This window comes from Homo sapiens, chromosome 20, assembly GCF_000001405.40.
Source record: "Homo sapiens chromosome 20, GRCh38.p14 Primary Assembly".
Classification (NCBI taxonomy): domain Eukaryota; kingdom Metazoa; phylum Chordata; class Mammalia; order Primates; family Hominidae; genus Homo; species Homo sapiens.
This window is the reverse complement of record NC_000020.11, coordinates 59240322-59262230: the sequence shown is the minus strand read 5'-3', so window position 1 is coordinate 59262230 and position 21909 is coordinate 59240322. Positions and strand designations below refer to the sequence as shown.

General features: G+C 39.7%; 1 protein-coding gene across 11 annotated transcripts in view; it reads right to left on the bottom strand.

Annotated features, from left to right (window-relative positions):
* Positions 1-3117: 3117 nt before the first annotated feature.
* ZNF831 (zinc finger protein 831) overlaps positions 3118-21909 on the bottom strand; it is a 135726-nt gene continuing 116934 nt past the window's right edge. For all 11 annotated transcript variants that reach the window (XM_047439881.1, NM_001384354.1, XM_047439880.1 and 8 more), the window contains 2 exons: positions 9093-9253; positions 3118-8333 (listed from right to left, as the gene is read on the bottom strand). In XM_047439881.1, coding sequence (XP_047295837.1) covers positions 7488-8333; positions 9093-9253 — 1007 coding nt within the window. In that variant the 3' untranslated portion in view covers positions 3118-7487. The remainder of the gene's footprint in view (positions 8334-9092; positions 9254-21909) is intronic.

The window sequence follows — 21909 nt, the reverse complement described above, 5'->3', positions numbered from 1 at the left end:
TGACCAAAGAAACTTATCCAAGAAACCCACAATTCCATCTGTGGTCATTAGTTCTATTGTCTTGGAGAAAAAATGGAGACAGAGCTCTGCTTAACAGGAGCTAGAATAACTAGGGAACCTAACAGCAAATACACCGTTTAGGTTAGCTTGATGGTTCCCCGAGTGCACTGGGTAGACCACTGGTAATTTGAAGATGATATTTAACTGGCACATGAACAATTTTTGATAGTTTTACTACATTTTAATGCATATTTGAAAATAACTCGAAAATTCAGCAAGTTTTCATAGACATTATTGCTTAGAGCAATAATTGCTTCTTTAACAGAGATAACTTAAATAAAAGTATTAAGTAAATAACATACCCACATGTGGCATCTTGATGCATAGGGCAAAAAGCATTAAGATGGTTCTCAAATGACTGAAGTTTGGAACAAATAGATTAATTATAATAATGGCGATTACAGTTTGATGAGTTTGGAAAAAAAGCTATTAAGAGCCATCAATTAGTAAATCTGTTCCTTCCGTATCCTCAATCCCACTTTTCCCTCCAACGAATTGTGCCCCACTGACTTCAAGTGTCTTCAAGAGGTATGTAAATAGACTAATAATATTGTGTTGGGCTGTAAGTCTACCTATTCCTGCAAGGAGTACATAAATCACCTTCATAAGAAGCTATGATTTTGGTTTAAGGACATGGTGAAACCCCGTCTCTACTGAAAATACAAAAATTAGCCCGGTGTGGTGGCGTGCACCTGTAATCTCAGCTACTTGGGAGGTTGAGGCAGAAGAATTGCTTGAACCAGGGAGGTGGAGGTTGCAGTGAGCCAAGATCACACCACTGCACTCCAGTCTGGGGCAACAGAGTGAGACTCCATCTCAAAAAAAAAAAAAAAAAAAAAAGAAGGAAGGGGTTGGGCTATATTATTTATCTTAGACTCTTTCTTTCTTCCCTATTTACTCTCGGTGAGCCATTTTCATTTGTTTACTCAGCAAAAGTGCACTAATGCCTGCTATGAGCCAGGCACTCTTCCAGCAGCTAAGAAAACCAAGATAAAGACACCATGGGCTCTGCCTCCAGGGAGCTCCCTTTTGGGCCATATACATAGTCATCTCATTTCCTAACTCATCGGCCCTAGTCCACCCAGTTATTTTAACAAGGGGAGGACTTTTGAGGAAGTTTTCAATATGTTCAGTGTGTGTGTGTGTGTGTGTGTGTGTGTGTGTGTGTGTGTGTGTATGTATGTAAGGAGGGTTCCTTCAGGCAAATATGTCCAACTAGAGTATTCGCATTTGTGGTTTACACATCATGTAGAAAAAGCAAGGCTAGATATCTGGCCTTTCATGTATGATGGAGCCAAGAAGCCTCAATCATGCTGCATTAATACCCCATTGCACACAATATACACACAGAAGGCAACCAGATCTCTGTGGCCACAGACAGAACTGGGCCACTCTTTCCCAGGTGCTGCAGGTACAAACCTCTCATTCCCAATAGGAATGAGATATCCATTCACTCATACCTCACACGGAAAAATAATTCACCTATTTCTGGGCTGAAATGGCCATGGACTAATCCCAAGATGCTCAATGGTAGAGGCTGTTGAATTTGCCTCTGGCAGAAACTGAAGGAAACTGAAGGCAGACTGTGTCTGTCACCGCTGGAAACAAAGGTCACAGATGCCACTGAGCAATTCTTTCTGCATACACAGCCCAAAGATCAACAAGCTGACACTAAGGAGACTTAAAAAGTTGCTCTCTGTGGTTCTTAGTACAGCCAAATCCATTTCCCTCACATTTAGAAGTATGGAAGCAGTTATTTCAGCAGAACTTATGTCGGTGCTTCTGGTTGGGCATGAATTCCTAACTATGCATTCCTATACATCATTCTGTACTCACCGACTAATCAGCCAACACTCAAAACACCAAAACAAACAAACAAACAAAAAACATATTTATGCAACAAAACATTATGTGATTATTCCTTTGAGACCAAAATCCTTTGATTTGAAATGTCAGTTATTTAACTCTACAGTTTGACCAAAGAAACTTACCCAATAATCCCACAATTCTGTTTGTGGTCACCAGTTCTATTGTCTTGGAGAAAAAATGGAGACAGAGCTCTGCTTCATAGAAGCCAGAATAACTAGAAAACCTAACAGCAAACATACTGTTTAGGTTAGCTCGATGTTTCCCCAAGTGCACTGGGTAGACCACTGGTAATATGAAGATGGTATTTAACTGGCACATGAACAATTTTTAATAGTTTTACTACATTTAATGCATATTTGAAAATATACTTAACTCGAAAATTCAACAAGTTTTCATAGACATTATTGCTTAGGGCAATAATTGCTTCTTTAACACAGAGATAATTTAAATAAAAGTATTAAGTAAAAAATATACCCACATGTGGCATCTTGATACATATGGCAAAAAGCATTAAGATGGTTCTCAAATGACTGAAGTTTGGAACAAATAGATTAATTATAATAACGGCGATTACAGTTTGATGAGTTTGGGGAAAAAAGCTATTAACTGCCATCAATTAGTATACCTGTTCCTTCCATATCCTCGATCCCACTTTTCCCTCCAATGAATTGTGCCCCACTGACTTCAAGTGTCTTCAAGAGGTATGTAAATAGACTAATAACATTGTGTTGGGCTGTAAAAGTAAGTCTACTTATTCTTGCAAGGAGTACATAAATCACCTTCATAAGAAGCTATGATTTTGATTTAAGGATGTTTTCTCTGTTAATGAATAATGCTAAATGTCCAGAAAACATCAAATCCAAGGGGAAAAGATTCTGGATTATTGCACTGTGGTTCGTGCCCTCCTGTGGCTTCAGAGTTTCGCTACATTTAAGAATCTAAAACCAGATTCCTAAGTTACAGACTATAAAATATGGCAGATAATGACAAACGAGCTATGTGTGAAAAGGAAGCACCACAAGAAAGTGAGATCATTTGACATGACCTAATCCCTTTGTTGAGTGGAATGGGATACCAATACGGCCAACGAGGCATTGGGTCAATGATTAGGAATAATCAGATGTCCAATTCATAAAGCATATGATTTGCAGGGGTTTTGGTTAAAATGTTAACAAATCACGTGAGACATTTGCATTTTAAGTTTTATTTTTATCAAAACAAAATAATTTAACCATATAAAGAAAGAAAGTTCAACAAACAACCAAGAAGCCAATCATTTCCCTGATTGTGAACAACCAATTGAGTAGTAAATCCTGAACAGTTGACCGCATATACAAGACATTCCGTCATCCTCTAGTGCTCCAAGTGGCAGAGGCTGATGTTTTTCCCTGGTTCCTATTCTTCCAGTGGTGAAGTAATGTGCTCAACTGTTCCTATACTTCTTCAGACCAAATTATGTATATTCCTACGTAAGTGCAAAGCATGGATGAAAAGAATCATACAGGGTAGAAATCCAGCACATAAGATTTTCTAGGTTCTGACCCTTATATTTAATGGGTTCTGAAAAATAAGGACAATAAATTGTGCTTAAATATTGAGAAATGTAGTGTTTCAAAAGCCAAAGTGCCTCCCTACATGAACTATGGGAAGAACAACTGAAGTGAGGAAAAATACACAAGCCCAGCTTGCTGCAGCAGTAGAAATATGATCACCCATAGAGCCAGGCAGGTCATATTCTCCTCACCATATTAAATTATGTCTGGGGAGTTGAGCAGCAGCACATTCCGATAATGATGACAGTTTCCATAACTATAAAGATCTGCTGCACCAGGCAAATTCTGTGCAAAATGCAAATTTCTGTGCTGGGGAAAAAAATGAATAATGTGATCATTCTAAGTAATGAATGTAAATGCAAGGAAATACTTTTTGGCATGAGACTGCAAATTGTTTATCTTTCATGCCAAGAACTGTGGTCACAGTGCACTTCTGCAAGGTTCCTCTTCCGGTCTCAGCTTTAGAAGAGTGATTTCAGGAAGAAAAAGTCTGTCTTGCCCTAGGTTACCCACCATGCTATTGGCAGTGTTTCCATTAAAATTCAGAGACACCCTCCTCCATCTTTTTTTTTAATCACTTGGCAAATGAACCATAGGTTCTCCTGGTTACTGTGAGATGTGAACCAAAGGGGATTATTAGCTTTGTCTCAAATCTCAAGGGTTAAGCCTAACAGGAGAGATGAGCTGTTTTTCAATGTGTTTTACAAGAAGGAGGATTCCAGTTGTCCACCAAAAATCACATGACTTTGAGTCACTTAACAATGTAGGTTGCCAAGGAGGGAAGGATTGAAACCTCTTCCCTCCATACATCTTTAACGACAAGATCTAGCTGGGTGTAGGTACAGGTGGAGAGAGAAACCTGGTGAGTCTTGAACATCATGGGGAAATGTCACTTTTGATATTGGCAAAAAAAAATTCAGTGCCCTTCCCTTAGTTCATGACAGCATCCCTCTAACTATTCTCTGTGGAAGAAACTGAGGCATCAGTTGGTTAAGACCCTTACCTAAAGATATAATAAAATTAACACTGGGAAAATTAGCACTGGGGAAAGAAGGAAATCCCTGATCTTTAAACTCTGGTTTGCTTTGTTCTAAAATAAATTTGTTTTTCCTTAACCATCATGCAGTACACACTTGCAGAGTATAAAACTGTGGTAGTTATCAATTGATAATACTGACATTTTATTTTTAGTAACCCAAACTGGGTTCTAGGTTGTTAATGTTACCCTTAAAATGTATTCTTATAATTGTATTTCACTTTAAGAAAACCCATAGGAAAATTAAGATTTATAAAATCAGAGATTGTTCATTGCTTTATAAAAAGATTCTTCATTTAAAAAAAATCTTTACCTTAGGATGCTTTTAAAGAGCCAGCTCCCTTAGGGTCATTCAAAATACATTTTTAATTTTTAAAAAATCCATTGACATACAGCTTTTTCACAAATTCATGTTGATATAAAGTAAGGTACACTTGTAAACATTGCCAGCCACTAGGCAAAGACCAGGGAAGCAAGGTGGCTTCGCTACCTGCTTTACCTTTGTAAGAGATACAGGGAGTTAGAGACGAAATCAATATTCCGCCATATTTGACCTAGGTTGGGATGTGACAGCTGGCAACGGTGGCTCCTATAGGGACAGAGCTTCCACCATCATCCTGAAGTTGGTGCTGTTTGGAGCTATGACTTACTGATTTACAGCCAGTGACCCCGTTGATTCCACAGTAGCCACCCAGAAAGGAGGGGTCTGGAAGACAGCTTTTTTCCCCTGACCAGTGCCTCCTAAGACAAAGGAGCCAGTTCAGCCTACAGATAGGTTTTCTCCATTCCTACTGGAGAGTTCTGGTTTTGCTTTTAATTTTTTGAACTATGAGCCACATGTATAGGCTGGATGATTGCACCCTAAAATCTGGAACTCTGGGGAAAAAATTAGATGGAGCTTCTTCAGGCTCAGGTTCTTCACAGCAATAATTGGTGGAAGGTGCTTGTGTTTCAGTTCCTCACTGTCCCCACCCAAACTTCTTGCATGCAAGGCCTCCGTGGCAATGGTTCCCCATGGGGAATATCTTCAAGCCATTGAGTCCATGCATTTTAAGGAGAGAGCAGCTTCTCTATCAACCATTCTCAGAAAAATTGGAACCTGGAGATACATTCGTCTTGTCCAACTCTCTTATTCTCACTTAGGGAAACTAAGGTACAGAAAGACTCTTAACCAAGATTTCCCAGCTAAAGTCAGGACTTCAATCTCCATCCAAGGCTCAGACCATTTGCCTACACTGCCTCTCTCATTACAGTGGCATGAATCCTTCGAAAAGGGAGATAATCACCACATCGCTTTTGTTGGGTTTAAAAAGTACACTAAGTCAATGTCCAACATCCTTTTTACCTCCCTTCTTATGTTTTTCTTGGCTGGGCCTGAAATCCTTGGATATTTATGAGTGCATATGAAATGGTCACAAATATATGCTAAGTAACCAGGGAAGCTGGTCTGGCATTGAAGTTTTCTATGAAAAACACCAAAATTGGAAAATTCACATGAAGATACTTGAAATTTGACCATACTTAGTCACAGGCACAGACTGACTGAAGTGTATTCACATGTGTGAGATGCTCTGCATTGCTGCTGTGTCTCTGAAGTACAAGATGTCATATGAACATCATTACATCAAAGTTACACCAAAAGAGCTCAGCTACAAATTTCAAATTGTACAAAATCATACCAAAAGCAAGTATAAAATTTTATTGAAATGCAGCAATGTAAACCTCTTTAAGTTTCTCCTCTCCCGTGGAAGGAGAGGGAGAGGAAGGCAGTGGAACTGAGGCTTTGCCCCCCGGGCTGGCTGACGTAGATCTGTTTTCTTCTGCACAGGGGCGCACCGGCTTGGAATACTGGGGAATTTTCTCTGTGCAGTTCTGACGTGCACAATACAGAGGCTGATTTAATTTGACAGCAAAGTAACACTAAGCCCCGAAAATAAAATTACCGAGATGTAAAACAGCGTCAAAACTCCAATTAGTTTTGTATCCTTGAAGCTTCTGAAGGAAATCTAAAAGGCTCCCGTCACGACGAGCAGGCATCAGTTGAAGCTGTACAGATTACTAAAATGTAACCCTCTAATTGAAATTGCTCAGAGCACAATATGACAAGAAGAATCAGAGGAAAATAAGTGAATTTTTCCCTCTCAAAAAATGACTCATTACAGAGAGACAGTTCTATTAACTTTTAACACCGTTCCTTTGCAAGAACTAGAAAAACCGACAGTCTCAGAGATCTCCACAGCAAACGCACCAGGCACAAGAGCATGTGCTTGCATCATCTGACCATAAATAAGCATTGACCATTTGTGCAACATTTAAAAGTAATCAGCATGTCACCGGATCATAGGCATTTTGAAGTGTATTTACAACTCCACCAAGGACGTGAATTACTCTGAACAAGCTTCAGTTTTTTAATGTATCTGAATTTTGTCTCCAAAATGAACAGAAGTATCTTTGTGCCCAGTTCACACCCCCGTCTCTTTGTCAAGCTACTCCAATTATCCCAAGTGTGCTCTCCACCTTGGAAGCAAATCCTCAGTTTACTAATGGAGAAAGCCAGTTGCCTCGACTGTGTGGGGTCCACTTGTGGAGAAATGTGTTGATGGTGGCTTTCTTGGTTAGTGCCATTTGATTGCAGAGAGGCAGTGGGGGACAGGTGCAGAAGACGAGGCTGGGAGTCAAGGCCCAGTCACTGTGCACGTTGACCATTTGCAGAGTTTGCTTCCTTGCCATGTCTGCCCTGCCTGGCACCATTTGAAGATGAGCAGAGCACTCCCAAGGGGAGCTGGGGAACGCTGCGGCTGAGTTGGGGGTCAGAAGTTGGTTGGAGTTGGCTTGTAAATAACTCAAAATGGCTTTCCTAATCTGTAGGTGTTTCACAGATAGAGTTTAGTTCTTCCGCCAGCCTGACAACATTTACTTGTGAAGCGTCAACAGTCTTTTTGACCAGACACCATGTTTCTCTGGAAGCTTCATATTTCTATAACTAATCGGTCTTCATCGTCGCTGCTGGTGTCACTGAACTCTACTCGAGTTTGCTTTCTCATTCCTTCCAGACTCCTCTTCTTGAGGGATTTAGAAGGGGCTTCAGGAATTTCTATGGGCTGCTCTGGCTTAGAAGGAACCACAGAATCTTTCCGAGTGATTAATCCAGATACCTGACGTTTCCTACCGTCACTTCCTAAAGAGGGGCAGGGGACAGTCATTTCCCCACACCCATACTGGCCTCTGGAAGGAAAAAACGTCTTGTGTCTCCCTTCCTTGTGGTGTGAACTAGCTGAACTTGGTCCTGAAGCTGGTATTTCAAGATGAGTTTTTTCAGTTGACTCCAGTGGAACCGAATCTGAAATTCTTTGTCCAGATGAAGGTCTCCCTGGCAAGAGGGTCTGTGCTCTGCCCTCTTCTGTGACTTTGCTGTCTGGGGAGCTTGATGTCAGAGTCCTCCCTGCAGTCTGGCTGTGGTCTCGTGATTCAGCACTGTGAATTTCCTGGGCTATGTGATCTGTTCTCACTGGCAGAGAAATACAAACGGCAGCCACAGAGGTAGCAATGTCATGGTGGGGAAAAGTTCCTTTGGACCCAAAGGAAGAAGGCCTTTGAGCATCTGAGAAGATGTATGGTTTGGGATCTGTTGAGACTGAATCCTGGGAGGCCAGCAGCTGAGTCTCCAGCAACCCAAGGTCAAGACCTTTGCCAGGGGGTAGAGGCACGTCATTAACCACTGCCAGGCAGGTGTCAGATTGCAGAGATAATCCTGATGTGGCAGCAGTGCTGTGAGTAGTACAGTCACCATGCTCACCAGCAGATGGAGAAATATCCTGCAACAAAGTGCAAAGGAAAAAAAAAGTGGGGGGGGAGGTTAATTGGTACAAAGAAAAATGTGGTCAGAAACGTGGTCCTCAATGAAAACAGGTCTTGAGGTCTTAATGATTCTTTACCAAGGGTGAACTTCAATATGACGCCCTCAATAAGTTTCCATTAATAACTAATTGGTGCATTAACTCGAATAAAGCTCCTGATTGATACAAAATAGGTTGCTGACGTCCTGTGCTTTTATCTGGCTTTGTGAAAAACAAAACCACTCAATTATCTTACCAGTTCTCAGCTTCCTTTTTTAAGTCACTACCGCTCATGAAGCGGATGTACTATTTTATAGGACTGTGTATTGAAGGGTTTTTTGGTTTTTTGGTTTTTTCCGGATGAGTGTTTTTCCAAATGTGGTCTGGATACATATTTTAGTGGTTTTCAACACGCAGCCCCACAGTCTGTCTGGGGGGGCTTCATGTTGCAGTGGCATCTGTCAGCCATCTCTCTATTCAGGTGTGCAGTAATAACATACTTGGGGTTTTTTTTAAAGAAACCATCAGAAATCATCCCAATGTTTGCACTACCAAAGCTACTCATTCGATACAGAATGTTTTGAGTTATTTGTTTGTCTTAATGGGCTTTCTGTGCCACGAATCTTCATAAGGTGATCCGAGCAAGTTCTGCCACACTGAACAAGAGCAGCAAGAACAAGCAGGGCTATACATCTAGACCAGGAATAGGTAGAGGCAGCTCAAAATCATCATGCCCACCTTCACAGTTCGTTTGTCCATTTCCCTGACAATTCTTGAACTTGTACCAAGAGAGAGGGTTCCTAAGGTTTGTCTGCAGTCACCTTCCTTCTTCTCTTCCTTCCCACAACAAGGAGGTGATTCTGAGGTGGCACAAGATGGCTCCTCTTGCAGATTCAGACCTGCAAGGGGAGAGGCACATTTACATATGACTGGAATTATAAAATTAGCAAAGAGTAATTTCCTGGGAGGTTGTCCATGACTTCTTGATCGCCTCTGAGCTCATTAACCCTCATCTCACAGGGTGTGTGCAAGAACTCAATTTATCTCCAACCAATTCACATTTGGTCAAATAAAATATATCCACTCTATGAAGGAAGGAAATGGCAAAACCAATTCTCAAAGTAGAAAAACCCCTGAATGATACATATCATAAAATATATCTATATTTCATGTTGCTTCTTCTCATCAGAGTTGTATTCCTGGTCATGTCTGTTTAGGTAAATTTTAGATCAGCTTGAATTCTCTGACATACTACCAAGTAGTCAGAATAGACGTTTCACTCGATGCATGGTGGGAACCCAGAAATATAAACCAGGTCTTAATTCCCACTAGAGTGCTGGGCAGCAAGGGATGAGGTTGGCTTTTGTGATGCTGTTGTTTTGTTGTGGTGGTTATTGTTGTGATTGTGGAAGGAAAGAAGGGCCCTGACAATATCCACAAAACAGCACTTCTCATACCTGTCTTTCCTTCATCCTTCACCCGCACTGATGACCTGGCATACCAGTCAAAAGGATCACAAAATTTCAGAGAGGGCAGGTTCCATCATGATATGAGATCAGAGAAATATCTTAAAACGACTGTGTCACTAGAGAAGAAGCACTAGACCCACTTTTAAATTTGCTTTTATTTTGATGAAAGGTACACATGTGCAGTCTGAAAAGTCAAGCCTAACTGTGTATTAAGAAAAACTGCAACCCCTGCCAACCCATCCATCTTTTCCCATTCGGGAGTCTTTTGACTTTTAGCTCCTTCATGTCTGATAACATTGTTATAGAACTACATTTTGTGGAAGTAGTAGCTGTGACTTCTCATGGGGAGAGAGGAGGGTTTCCCTCTTCTTCCAGCTCTCCTCCTCTTCAAACTTCATGACCCCCCACACAAGCACACATTCCACCTCTCTATCTTCTCAACAGTTCTCTAACCCCTATGGCCTGTTTTCATTTAGGCGAATATTCCATGTTTATATTAGTATGTTTAGGAGAATACCTGTCAGCACTGAATCTTGTAGTATACTACGATTACGTTGCCTTTCTTGTGAAAACTGCTTTCCCTGGGATTAATGACGATTTTGCTTTTTAAAAATTTTGCTGAGTTTTCTATGGACTCATTTCTAAAATCATTTTCCAACCACCTCTCCAATTGTCTGAGGTTTCATTTCATTCTGTGAGAAATGTTTCCTTGAAACTTTCTGATTTGCTCCAAGTGGACCATGTTTCTCTGCAGCATGGCTGTGCCCCTGGGGTCTCCCTTCATCCCCGCTGTGCTGATTCTCTTCGCCTCTTTCCTGGTTCCTGAACCTCTACAACTTCTTTTTTCTTGGTTTACACTCCTGCTTTCCTAACACAAAACTTCTAGTAGTTTCATGAGAAAGGGTACATGAAGTATAACTCTTTAGATGTCATTGGCAGCTTGGCTGGGTATGACATTCAAAATCGGAAATCATTTCCCTTTGGGGTTGCAGACACGGCTCTATTGCGTTCCAGTTGTTGAAAAGTCTGGAGACAATATGATTTATGATTCATGGTCCTTTGGATGAAATCTTTTTGTATGTCGTTCTCTGGAATCCCCGAGGCTCTTCTTTATTTCTGGTGTCACCACAGCCTGGGTCGATCTTCATTCATTGGCTGGGCACTCAATCAATTCTTTCAATCTGAATCATGTCCTCAGGTTTTAGAAAAATGTGGTTCTGTTTTTCTTTTTTCCTTTTCCTTCCTCATGTACAATGCATTGTTTTGAAATATACACACATTGTAGGTTGGCTAAATTAGATTATTAATAACATATGTATTAGCCCATAGGCTTATCTTTTTTTGGCAAGAACACTTATACTCTCAGCAATTTTTAAGAATACAAAACATTGTCATTAACTATAGTTACCATGTTGTACAATATAACTCTTGAACTTACCTGTTATTTCTGATTTTTTTTCCCTTCTGTTTTGTCTTCTCTCTCTTTCTAGAATTGCCCTTATTGGGTTATTGGATCTCCTAGTATAATCTTCTATTTTTCTTATCTTTTCGCTGTGATGTTCTGTTTCTTGGTCTTTTTGCTTCACTTTTGGGGGAATTTCCTCAACTTTATATTCCAATGAGTTTCTATTTCTGCTATTATGCTTTTAATTTCTAAGAGTTCTTTCCCATGTTCTTTTTTTATAGCATCCTGTTCTTACTTCATAGCTCTAACATCCTCTCTTTTACCCCCGGCAATGTTAATAATGGGTTGTTGTTGTTGTCGTTGTTGAAGTTTGCCTCCCCCTACATAGTCCCTCTTCCAAGTTCCTTTGTTTCCATTGGTTTGTTTTTATTTCTCTCTTTAGGTTGGTGGCTTTCCTGAGAAATACAGCAATCTTCGCTGCTTATGTTTAGGAAATGGGCACAAAAAAGCTGACTTGGTGTTCTTTACAAGTGCAATCTGTCAACCATGGGCCCTACTGTTAGGTTATGTGGTTGCCCTGTTTCAGTGGGAACCCTGAAGTAGTTATCTGCAGGTCTCCACGTGTACTGGTCAGCTTCTACAAGAAGAGTCCTCGGGTCTCCTGACTGGAAAATAGAAGCCAGGCTGCCGGCATTCTGGAGTCAAAATTAGAGAAGAGATTCTGGGGGCTCATATGCAGTATTCACATTTGCTCAAACCCCATTTTCAATCTAGTCCCCTCACTCCCCTGCTGAACTAATTATGCCAAGTGTCCCCCAGCATTTTGTATGCTGTCCAGAGACTAAGCCCCTAGTCTTCTCCAAGGGTGAGGGAAGTTACCAAGCTCTGAGAAGTAGAAACGGAGTGGGAATGAAGTCTGATTGCTTCTTAGTCTTTCAATCAATCTTGTTTTCAGCCACACCTGGTACCATGAATGTCTGAGTTGTGGGGAGTCTTCTCACTGTTAAATCAGGATTCCATTCCTTGGGGTCAGCTACATCAGTTCCCATTCAGACTCTGCACTCCAGTTTTCAAACTGGTGGCATCATTTCTTCTCCAAGTCGTTTCTCCTTGTGAGCTTATATATTAAAAACACCTTTAATTACTAACCTCTTGTTGGTTGTTAGAGAAAAGCTGAGGTAAATAAATGTGTTCCATCCTCCATCTTAAACCAAAAGAACAGTTCCACTTCTTATATCTCAAGGGGTAAGTTACTAGATTACCAAGTGTGCTAATCCTGAGCAAATCAACTTTGAAAATCCGTAGAGAAGTGCACAGTTTGGGAAAGATAGCAATGCTTTTTTCTTCCACACAATCTTTCTTGACCCTCCCGTGTACTCAGGTAATCTAATGGCACAGAACCAGGCTTTTGGTACTCCATTCACCTGTTCAACAACCACATCCTGGGCCCCTTCAATGACCCAGGCACCATGCTCCACCTTGAAGAGTCTGAGAAGAACAAAACAAAGGTGACGCTGGCCCTCAAGAGCTTCTACTGTAATGGGGAAAGAGAAGCAAAGACAAGGAAGCAGACGCCTATTGTGATGGGGTCGCAAAGGAAATAAATCGAGGACGGGGATATTACCGAGAGTGAAAATGAGAGTATTACAGGCAGTAACAATTAACAGGAGGCTATTCCAGACACTAATGAGAAATGGAGGGGAGCATACTACAGACTCATGATAAGCAGGGGGTAGTAAAGAGAGTAATGAGGGGGCTTAATCCAAAGAGTAGCCAGGGAGGACTGTTTTATATAGTCAAGGAAGACTTCTCAGAAAGGCGACATCAGAAATGAGACCTTCAGAGTGAGAAAGAACAAGTCCACAAAGGATATTCTAGACAAAAGAAGGAACAATACAGAGACCTTAAAGGGGAAAGCAGCTTGCGGGAGCAAGAGACCCATGGGGGGCCAATGTGGAAGGACAGTCGTGAATGCAGGGGCAGGGGCAAGATGATGGTGGGGAAGTCAACAAGGACTCAGATCTTGTGGGGTACAAGTGACTGTGGTAAGAAGTTTAAATTTTGAAGCCAAACTCGGGAGAGAGGTGAGGAGAGGTGGGAAAAACAGTTACAAGCTTACTAGGATAATCCAGGGGCCAGATGAGATGGCTTGACTAGGGCACCAGAAATAGAAAGGGAAAAAAGGGGTGGATTCAAGATATGTTTTCATTCTCACCCATGAAAAATTATCAAAAATTAATGGTGATGATATGCATTTCCTTAGCCTCATCGTTCACCAAGCACAAGTGCTCACTCTAAGTGAATTAAGCTCTGTCCCCACAGTGACAAAACAACCATGCAATTCATTCAATTCAATGAAGAAGTAAAACCAATTAGTGTAGAGAAAATAATCAGATTGGCCAAATGTCTTCCCAACAGGTTGTTTTGGTTTTTAAGCTTAAGTAGAAAGGTCATGTGCACATTTGACCAATAACTTCTGACTCATCTATGAAAGTAAAGGAAGAAAATCCACTGATCTAATTTGTTTTTGACCCTGCAGTCTACAGAGAAAAGTGAATTATCTTTAATAATTGTGAAAAATGCTCAAATAATGTCACTGAAGTGTGTTAAACTGATTTGGATTATTGAGGAAGGACACTAACTTGCTTTTAAATGAATGGCCCTTTTCAAAAAGGAAGTAGTTCCCTGGCCAAATTTTAAATCACAGAATGTGATTCCATTGAGGCTTCAGCATCACACTGTATGAATCACTTCCTACATCCTCAGAAATTACAAACTCCACTGTCTTAATGCCATCTTCAGAAATTCGATCGCTCTTACACAATTATGGGACTCTTATTAGAGAGACCATCTCTCATCACAGCTCTCTGTGCCGTGCTGTTCTTTCCCTGATTAAAGGCTGTGTTTTTAATAACTTCCCTCAGAAATAATTGCCAGACTGCATTTAGAGGAAGAGGCCACTTAAAGTGTTACAGCAATTTTAAATGTGGCCATCTTGAAAAGGCTACAGGAAACTGTAAAATACTTAGAAAGAAAATGAAATAAATAAACAACATGATGAAACTTACAACATAACTGTAGACATCTTTAATGCCAAATCTTCTTCCAGCTGCCTAATGTCTAGGCCTTATTAAAATGCTATAAACGCACTGCTCAAATATCATTAACTAAAAATGTAAGTAATTTGATATATTTCTTTTGGTTTGTCCCAATACACCAAAACTCCATGAATGTGGATTCCAAAGACTGAATTATTATTTAAAAAAAGGGTTAAAAATGAGTCTATAAAATCAACCTTCTAAGCAAGCTGCAAATATAAACAAGAATATAGGAGTAATTTCCTAGACTATTAATTAATCTGTGATTAAATTGTTTAGAAGCATCCCGGGAATTAACAGATCCACAATGTGCTAGCAATTACTTATAGAAAGCTGGGCAGATCTCTAAAAGTAATAACTTTGTGGACAGTTATTTATTCAAATATTTTTAAGCCTGTTTTCGAGCCTATGTTATTGAGCCTAAATATTTACTGAGCACCAAGCACAACCAACAACCGTGCCAAGAACTGTGCTAAACACAGGGCATTTGTTCTGTGGAAAACGAGGCAGACACACCCACATGATAATTATAGTTCAACGGGGGAGAAATTCAGTAAGCAAATAATTATATAAAAAATTCACCAAGCAAATATAGTAAATAGCATGAAAGAAAAAGCACGAAGGTGCTGGGTGGCCATGAAATAGGACCCCAACCCAACCTGTATCTATGGAAAAGAGCAAAACTATGCACACAGTAAATCATCTGACATCACCCCTGTCCTGGATGGCTTTCTAAGTCTGAATCATCTATACATGTAATTATTCAACCAATTTTCTTTAAGTCTCTGTTGCATACCTGACGTTATGCTAAAGTTTCTTTGACAGTAAATTCATTTGTTTCTGCAATCCTATTACATTTTTTGTTTATGAAGCCTCTTTACGAAAAAAATGGCTAAAAATGATGGAAGAAAGAGGTTTTATTCCTCTCAGGCAGAGAGAATGGGAGACGTTGGATGTCAATGCCAATCAAAAAATAATCAGAAGTCAGTGGGCGGTGAGCAGTGAGAAGCAGCTCCGACTTCAGCTGCACAGGCAGGGAGGGTTGGGGGAGAGGACCAGAAAGATGGATTTATCAAGTACAGCCTCGGGTATTTCTGCACTATCCTAATGCAATCTTTTGAAAGTTTGCCTCTAAGTAATCATAAACTAATCTTTTACTTCAACAACCATTTTTCTTAGTAATTTTCATCTCTTTTCTATTTCTCTGATGAAAGGCAATCAAGATAACCACCCTCCCCTCACAGAAATCCTGAATTCAGTGCAAAGCGGTGTTTAAAATTTTGCTTTAAAAATTCTGTCATGTCCAGACATCAAGTGTGTGCCCTTAAAATACAGAGTGAAAATAGGATTATGAAATTAGAGAAGGAAAAAAGACAATAAAAAAGAAAATGCCATTTGAAAGATTGAAAGCCAAAACAGAAACTGGCTGATATACTTTGTGTAACATTCTTTTAAAAGTTTCTTGTTGCTAAATGAAAATTGTCTATGTGGGTCTCTTCCCTGGGACATTATCGATATACCTGAAACAGCTTCTCATCTTTCCTCAAGATTTACACCCTAGAATGAAGGAGAAATTATTCTGTTTCAGCAATTTCAGAGCACTATGACTTCATAGCTTTGGGGATAGTTCTCCATTAATTCTAATGAGAAAAGATGTCGGAAGTCCTGTCAGAGAAGGAGAGTGAAGGCACAGAGAGAGAAGAGGGCTCTGGAGAGACCCCCAGACCCATCCCTGGCCTCTTGCTGGCTCCAAATACCTCAGAAATCCCTTCAGAGGAGGATTATGTGAGCGCAAGGAGACAGACTGCGGAGGGAGAGGTGAGCTGGCCCAGGCCCGTGATGAACAAACAAAAGAAACCACCGAAGAAAACCAAAGTGAACAAAGCCAATGTCTACCTTTGTGCCAGAGATGTATTCAACCCTCTTCATACAGTATTTAGAAATTGTATCTTTTATGTGTGTGTAATTAGGTAAAGGTTTTACTTCAGAAACCATATGTAATCACCGTTGTCTCTCCATTTCTGTTCCTGAGATGAACGTGTTTTGATCACTTTTTCCTCTCAGATACTTTCTCCAAATTCAGTGAATGGGGCTGATTTGAAACATTTCAGTGACTTTAAAGCTTGGTCGTGTACAGAATTCAACAGTGTTCCTTCATCAAATGAAATAATGAAAACTGCCCAGGAACAGTCTTTGAAAAGTTTATTTCAAAATTGACTGAGGAAAATGCATTTTGTGGGTTTGTTAAAAACCAGTGGTTCCGAAGCAAGGGTGATGTCTGGAGAAATTTTGGGTGGTCCTGACTCGGAGTGGAGGGGATGCTCCTGGCATGTTGTGGGTGGAGACCAGCAACCCTGCTACACATCCCACACTGCAACAAATAATGGAGTGTCGCCAAATGTCAGCAGTGCCCAGGTTGAGAAACCCTAGTTTAAACCAAAGATCACAAACTCAAATGCTACAGGAGCCAGACAAATTGCTAATTCGGGTGCCTGCCTGGGGATGGCCAAACAGCAAGCCCAGGCCCCAGGGGCGGCTGACCCCTAGCTCCAGCCAACTGAGACAATGAAGGCCGGAGGGTCCAGCTCACCAGATCTGTTTGTTTTTCAGGAGAAAAATCAAAATCTGTATTTCACATGCTTTCAAACATTCATAACTAATTAGTTTTCAAAACGACAGTAGCATTGTGCTACCCAACACATCTGTGGCCTGAATTTGAATGAGAGGCCGCTTGGTGGTGACCTCTTGTTATTTAAGAAACTCACATGCGCCGCCCACTCTGATAGCAAAGCTTCACCGTGGCTTTGTTTGCTCTCTTGCTGAAGCAAAGTTTCTTTTTAAAAATACTGTTAAAAATATTGATGGGAGAGTAAGTCCGTTTTTGAAAAGTAATTTGGTGGTATCTTATAAGGTGAAATAAGTAAGTATAAAACCATTGATCCAGCAATTGCTCTTTGGGAAATCAGGCAAGAATGTGTACTGCAGCAATAGTTGTGGTAGGAAAAACAATAGGCATCAACATAAACATCCATCAATAAAGGAAGGGATGAACAGATAAATAGTAGTACATCCAAACTAGGGGATTGTATGCCACTATTAAAACAATCTATATACGTATCGGCCTAGAGTTATATACAAAACATATTAAGAAGAAAAGAATTGGCGATTACTACATCTGGTATGAGCCTTTGTGTAAAAAACAACAACAAAAGGTGTCTGTCTGTATTTGTTTATGAGTGGAGAAAGATGTAGAAGGATGTGTGCCAACCTAACTCTGATGGCCTCAGGGGCAGTGTGGCTGGAAGTTGTCAGGCTTTCCTTGGATAAGTCAATGCTACTTTCTTTTTTGCAACAAACATGATATTGCGTTATCAGTTGGAAAGAAAAATAAGAGACACATAATCATATTGGTTCTAAAATTCAAACTCAAAATAATGAGGAAAACCCCCAAAGTGTATTATACCTGAATATGCTCAGGCAAAACTAAAAGTCAAATCAGTCCTCTTACCAGAAGATCAGAACAGGTTGCTGAAAGACAGAGATAAATCCTCACACACCAGTAACTAAAATTTAGTTTTTCAGGCACAGAAAAACTGAGAGATTCATGAAAGGAAGAGAAAAATATATTTTTTCCACCTCTAGCCAAATCTAGAGTATTTCTGTACTATCCTATTTTTTTTGAAACTTTGCCTCTCTCAGTAATAGTTTTAAATCTGTTTTTTTTCCCAGAAACCACTTTTCTCTATGGTTCTCATTCGTCTTCTCTTTCTTTGATGAAAGGCAATCAGTTGAAGAACACTTCACTTACCATTTTCTCCAAAAAAACATTTTTAGTGGGGAAAGTATGCTTAAAATCTTTTGGTAAGTCAAAACTTTAATCATGCCCAGACAAGAAGAGAATGCGCTAAAATAAAGAGAGGATAAATTGTGAGGAAGAAAGAAAACTAAATGAAGGGAAAAAAAAATTGTTAATATTATTTGCATTCTTCAGTGCCAAAATTGAATCAGGAGAATCTACTTTATGGATCATTAATTTCAAACTTTCTTAACTCTAAATGAAAATTGTAGAGAGAAAAGTTCAGGTTTTGGGATATAATTGATGTGTTTAAGCAATTGCCTCATCATTTCTTAAGATTTACACTCTGGGGAAGGAGATGTTATCCTGTTTCAGCAATTCTGTAAGCAATATTACTTAACTAATGGCTTTAGGAAAAGAATATCTCCCTATTAATTCTTACAGGAAAAATAATGGTACAGAGCCATTAGTTCTAGTCAGAGAAACAAGGAGGGAGTGAGTGGATGAGGGAGTCCTAGGGTTCAGGCTGCCATTTTGTTTCTCCTTGGGAAAACATTTTGAGGCGATTTGTGACAGAGAGATGGGGCACAACAAACACCAAGGGTGTCTCCTCCCACCTCCCTCTGTCTACTTATGGCAGAGTAACACAAGTGCAAAGGATAAAAAGAAGAAATAACTCTCATCTACTTGATTTCAGAGAATTACGTCACCATCCTCACATAATACTTAGCTATTCGACCTCTTCAACGTGATTAGGTAAACCTTTTACCTCTAAAAGTACCTGTCTGAGCAGTTTTCTTTGCTTTTCTATTTTTTCAATGAAAGGCAGCTGCGTTGATAACTTCAGCCTCAGAGGAATTTTCCTAAACTATGTTAGTGGGGGAAAAAAATCCAGTTAAAATATTTCAATCACTTAAAACCTTAGGTATGTGCTGAATTCAAAAGAAAAGATTCCATTAAGAGGGAAAGTAAATAAGACAACGGGAAAGAATAGAGGTCTCCCTCATCCCCTGCCCTGCCTTGCCCTGGAGTTAAATACAGGTTTATTGCTAATAATTAAGAAGCTCTATTCTATGTACTTGTTGTAGTATACACGTAGCTGAAGATAAAACAAAATAGGACAGAATTACACAATGATTGGTATTGTGGTAAATGCCACAGAGGAGATGGGTTATGAATCATCCCATCTCCACACCACCAGGGCGCTTCATCTGCTTTGAGAGTCTGAGGTGACCAGCCTGAGGAATCGCTAAAATGCCACCTCACAAAACCATCTAAGGAGGGTTGACTTGGTGATGAAGCCTCAGCCCTGGTTCCTCAGAGAGATGTGGCTGAAGGACTCATCGAAAGAGCAGAAAAATACATTTATCAAAATCTAGCAACCCATACCAGGGTACTTCTCTTTCCTAGTGCAATTTTTTGAAAGTTTGTCTCTTCTAAAGTAATCATACATTTTATTTCAGAAATTACTTTTCTTAGTGGTACTCATTTCTCTTATTTCTTTGATAAAAGGTAATCAATTTAAGATTTCCCATTTAGAGATTTGTTTTTCTTTTTCCAAACAATATTTAGCGGAAAGTCATATTTAAAATCAATCGTTAATATTTGTGCCTAGACCACAAGTGTGTATCTAAAATTTAGACAGCAAAAGGATATATGAGGAGAAAAAATATAATTAGTGAAAATACCTTCTGAAATATATGATGCCAAAATTGAAATCAAGAGTATCTACTGTTTGAATGATTATTTTCAATGTTTCTCAATACTGGATGAGTTCATAAACAACAGCCCATTTCTTGAAATATAATTAAGGTATTGGAGAGAGCTCATTTTTCCTCAAGATTTGCATCCTTAAAAAGGAGAAATTGATCCATTTCAATAATAATAGCTGGGAAGAAAGATCTCCCCTTCTCTCCTTCATTAATCCTGAGGGGGGAAAAATGGGCTCTTGTCAAACTAGAAACAGAAACAAGAAAGAAAATATTAGAGTTGGCGTCATCAATTTTGGTTTTCTAATCACCTTAGGAAAGAAAACATTCTAAGTCCAGCCTTTGTGAAGCAACAAATATTGAAGGAGCATTTAGGGCTTCGCTCAAACCAAGACTTCAGACGAGTAAAACTTAATTCGACAAGAAAACCAGCAAAAGACGATGGGGGAATATTGTTCTGTTTTCATAACGTGTTTAGATATTCCATCTCGTGGAGTACTTAGGCGATTGTACTTTTCTTTCTTCTCTTTCAGTTCTCTTATTTTTTGTGGCGTAGAGGAAAGTGAAGCATTTGGAAAGCAGAAAACTTCCTTTCACCCAGATATTTCTTCTAAACAATACTAAAGGAACAGTCAATTTGAATATTTCAGTAATATAAAATCCTATTCAGGTACCAAATTCAACAGCATTTCTTCAATACTGTTTAAGACAAGAGGACTGAGATAAAGAGGAAAGAAATAAACATTGCCCAAAATACTCTTTAAAAACTTTCACATACAGAAATTTACTCAAGAATCTACGCTTTCTGGCTTATTTTACAAGTGTCATTTTCTTATAAACGTTTCTTACAAAAGTTTTCTTATATATGTTTCTTATAAACGTATAAAAGTTTGTAATAAAAGCAGCTCAACCGGGTGGACTGTGGGGTCACCGAAATACTTTCAACTTGGCTTCTTTTCTCAAGATTTCCACCTCAAAAGAGAGAGTACTTCGGGAACTGCAACCCTTAGCAATGCAGCTCAAGTGGCATTTTTTTTTTTCAGCAAAAGCCTCTCAATGGTTTCTGTGGGTTCTGATTAAAAAAAAATAGAGGGGGCCGGTTATGAGTTCTTTTAGACCAAAGCAAGGAATAAAATATCAAGACTTAGCTCTGCTCTGCTATGAAGAGATCATGGAGACTTGAACCTCAAGGTCGCATGTAACTTGGAAGCTGAGACGTGGGGTAGCAAAGAGGAATGGAGGAATAATAGGAAGAGAGGGGCCAAATTCTTACAGAATTCTAAGAAGTCTCTCCTTTGTCCTCACACCAGCTGTAGAAATTATTTTACAATATAAAACTTTAATTATAGGACTTTTTTTTCTTTTTTACCTCAGAAACTATCTCCTAGACGCACAGTAGCATCTCTATCTTCCTGTAAATTTCTTCAGTCTGGTTAAAATGCATTAAAAATTTACAAGCTCAGTTACACACAAACCCAAAAGCTTACCTGAAAATACAGGTAGGACGACAAAAGCAACATTTAGGAAAGAGAGGGAATAAAAAGGAAGAGTATTTCCCTAGAAATATTTTTATTTATTTATTTATTTATTTATTTTTTGAGACGGAGGCTCGCTCTGTCGCCCAGGCTGGAGTGCAGTGGCGCCATCTTGGCTCACTGCAAGCTCCGCCTCCCGGGTTCACGCCATTCTCCTGCCTCAGCCTCCGGAGTAGCTGGGACTACAGGCGCCCGCCACCACGCCCGGCTAATTTTTTTGTATTTTTAGTAGAGACGGGGTTTCACCGTGTTAGCCAGGATGGTCTCCATCTCCTGACCTCGTGATCCGCCCGCCTCAGCCTCCCAAAGTGCTGGGATTACAGGAGTGAGCCACCGCGCCCGGCCCCTAGAAATAATTTTCAAACCAACCAAATCAATCAGTAAATCTCATTTCTAGATGTTTTTAAAAGAGCAGCAATTGATGTATTATTAGAACTGCCTAGAAAGTCCATTTTTGAGGTGTAGAAAAAGCCTTTACATCTTTCCTGAAGGATTCTATTCTACCACTCACAAAAGGAGTCTCTTTGGCAATTCTAAAGCAAT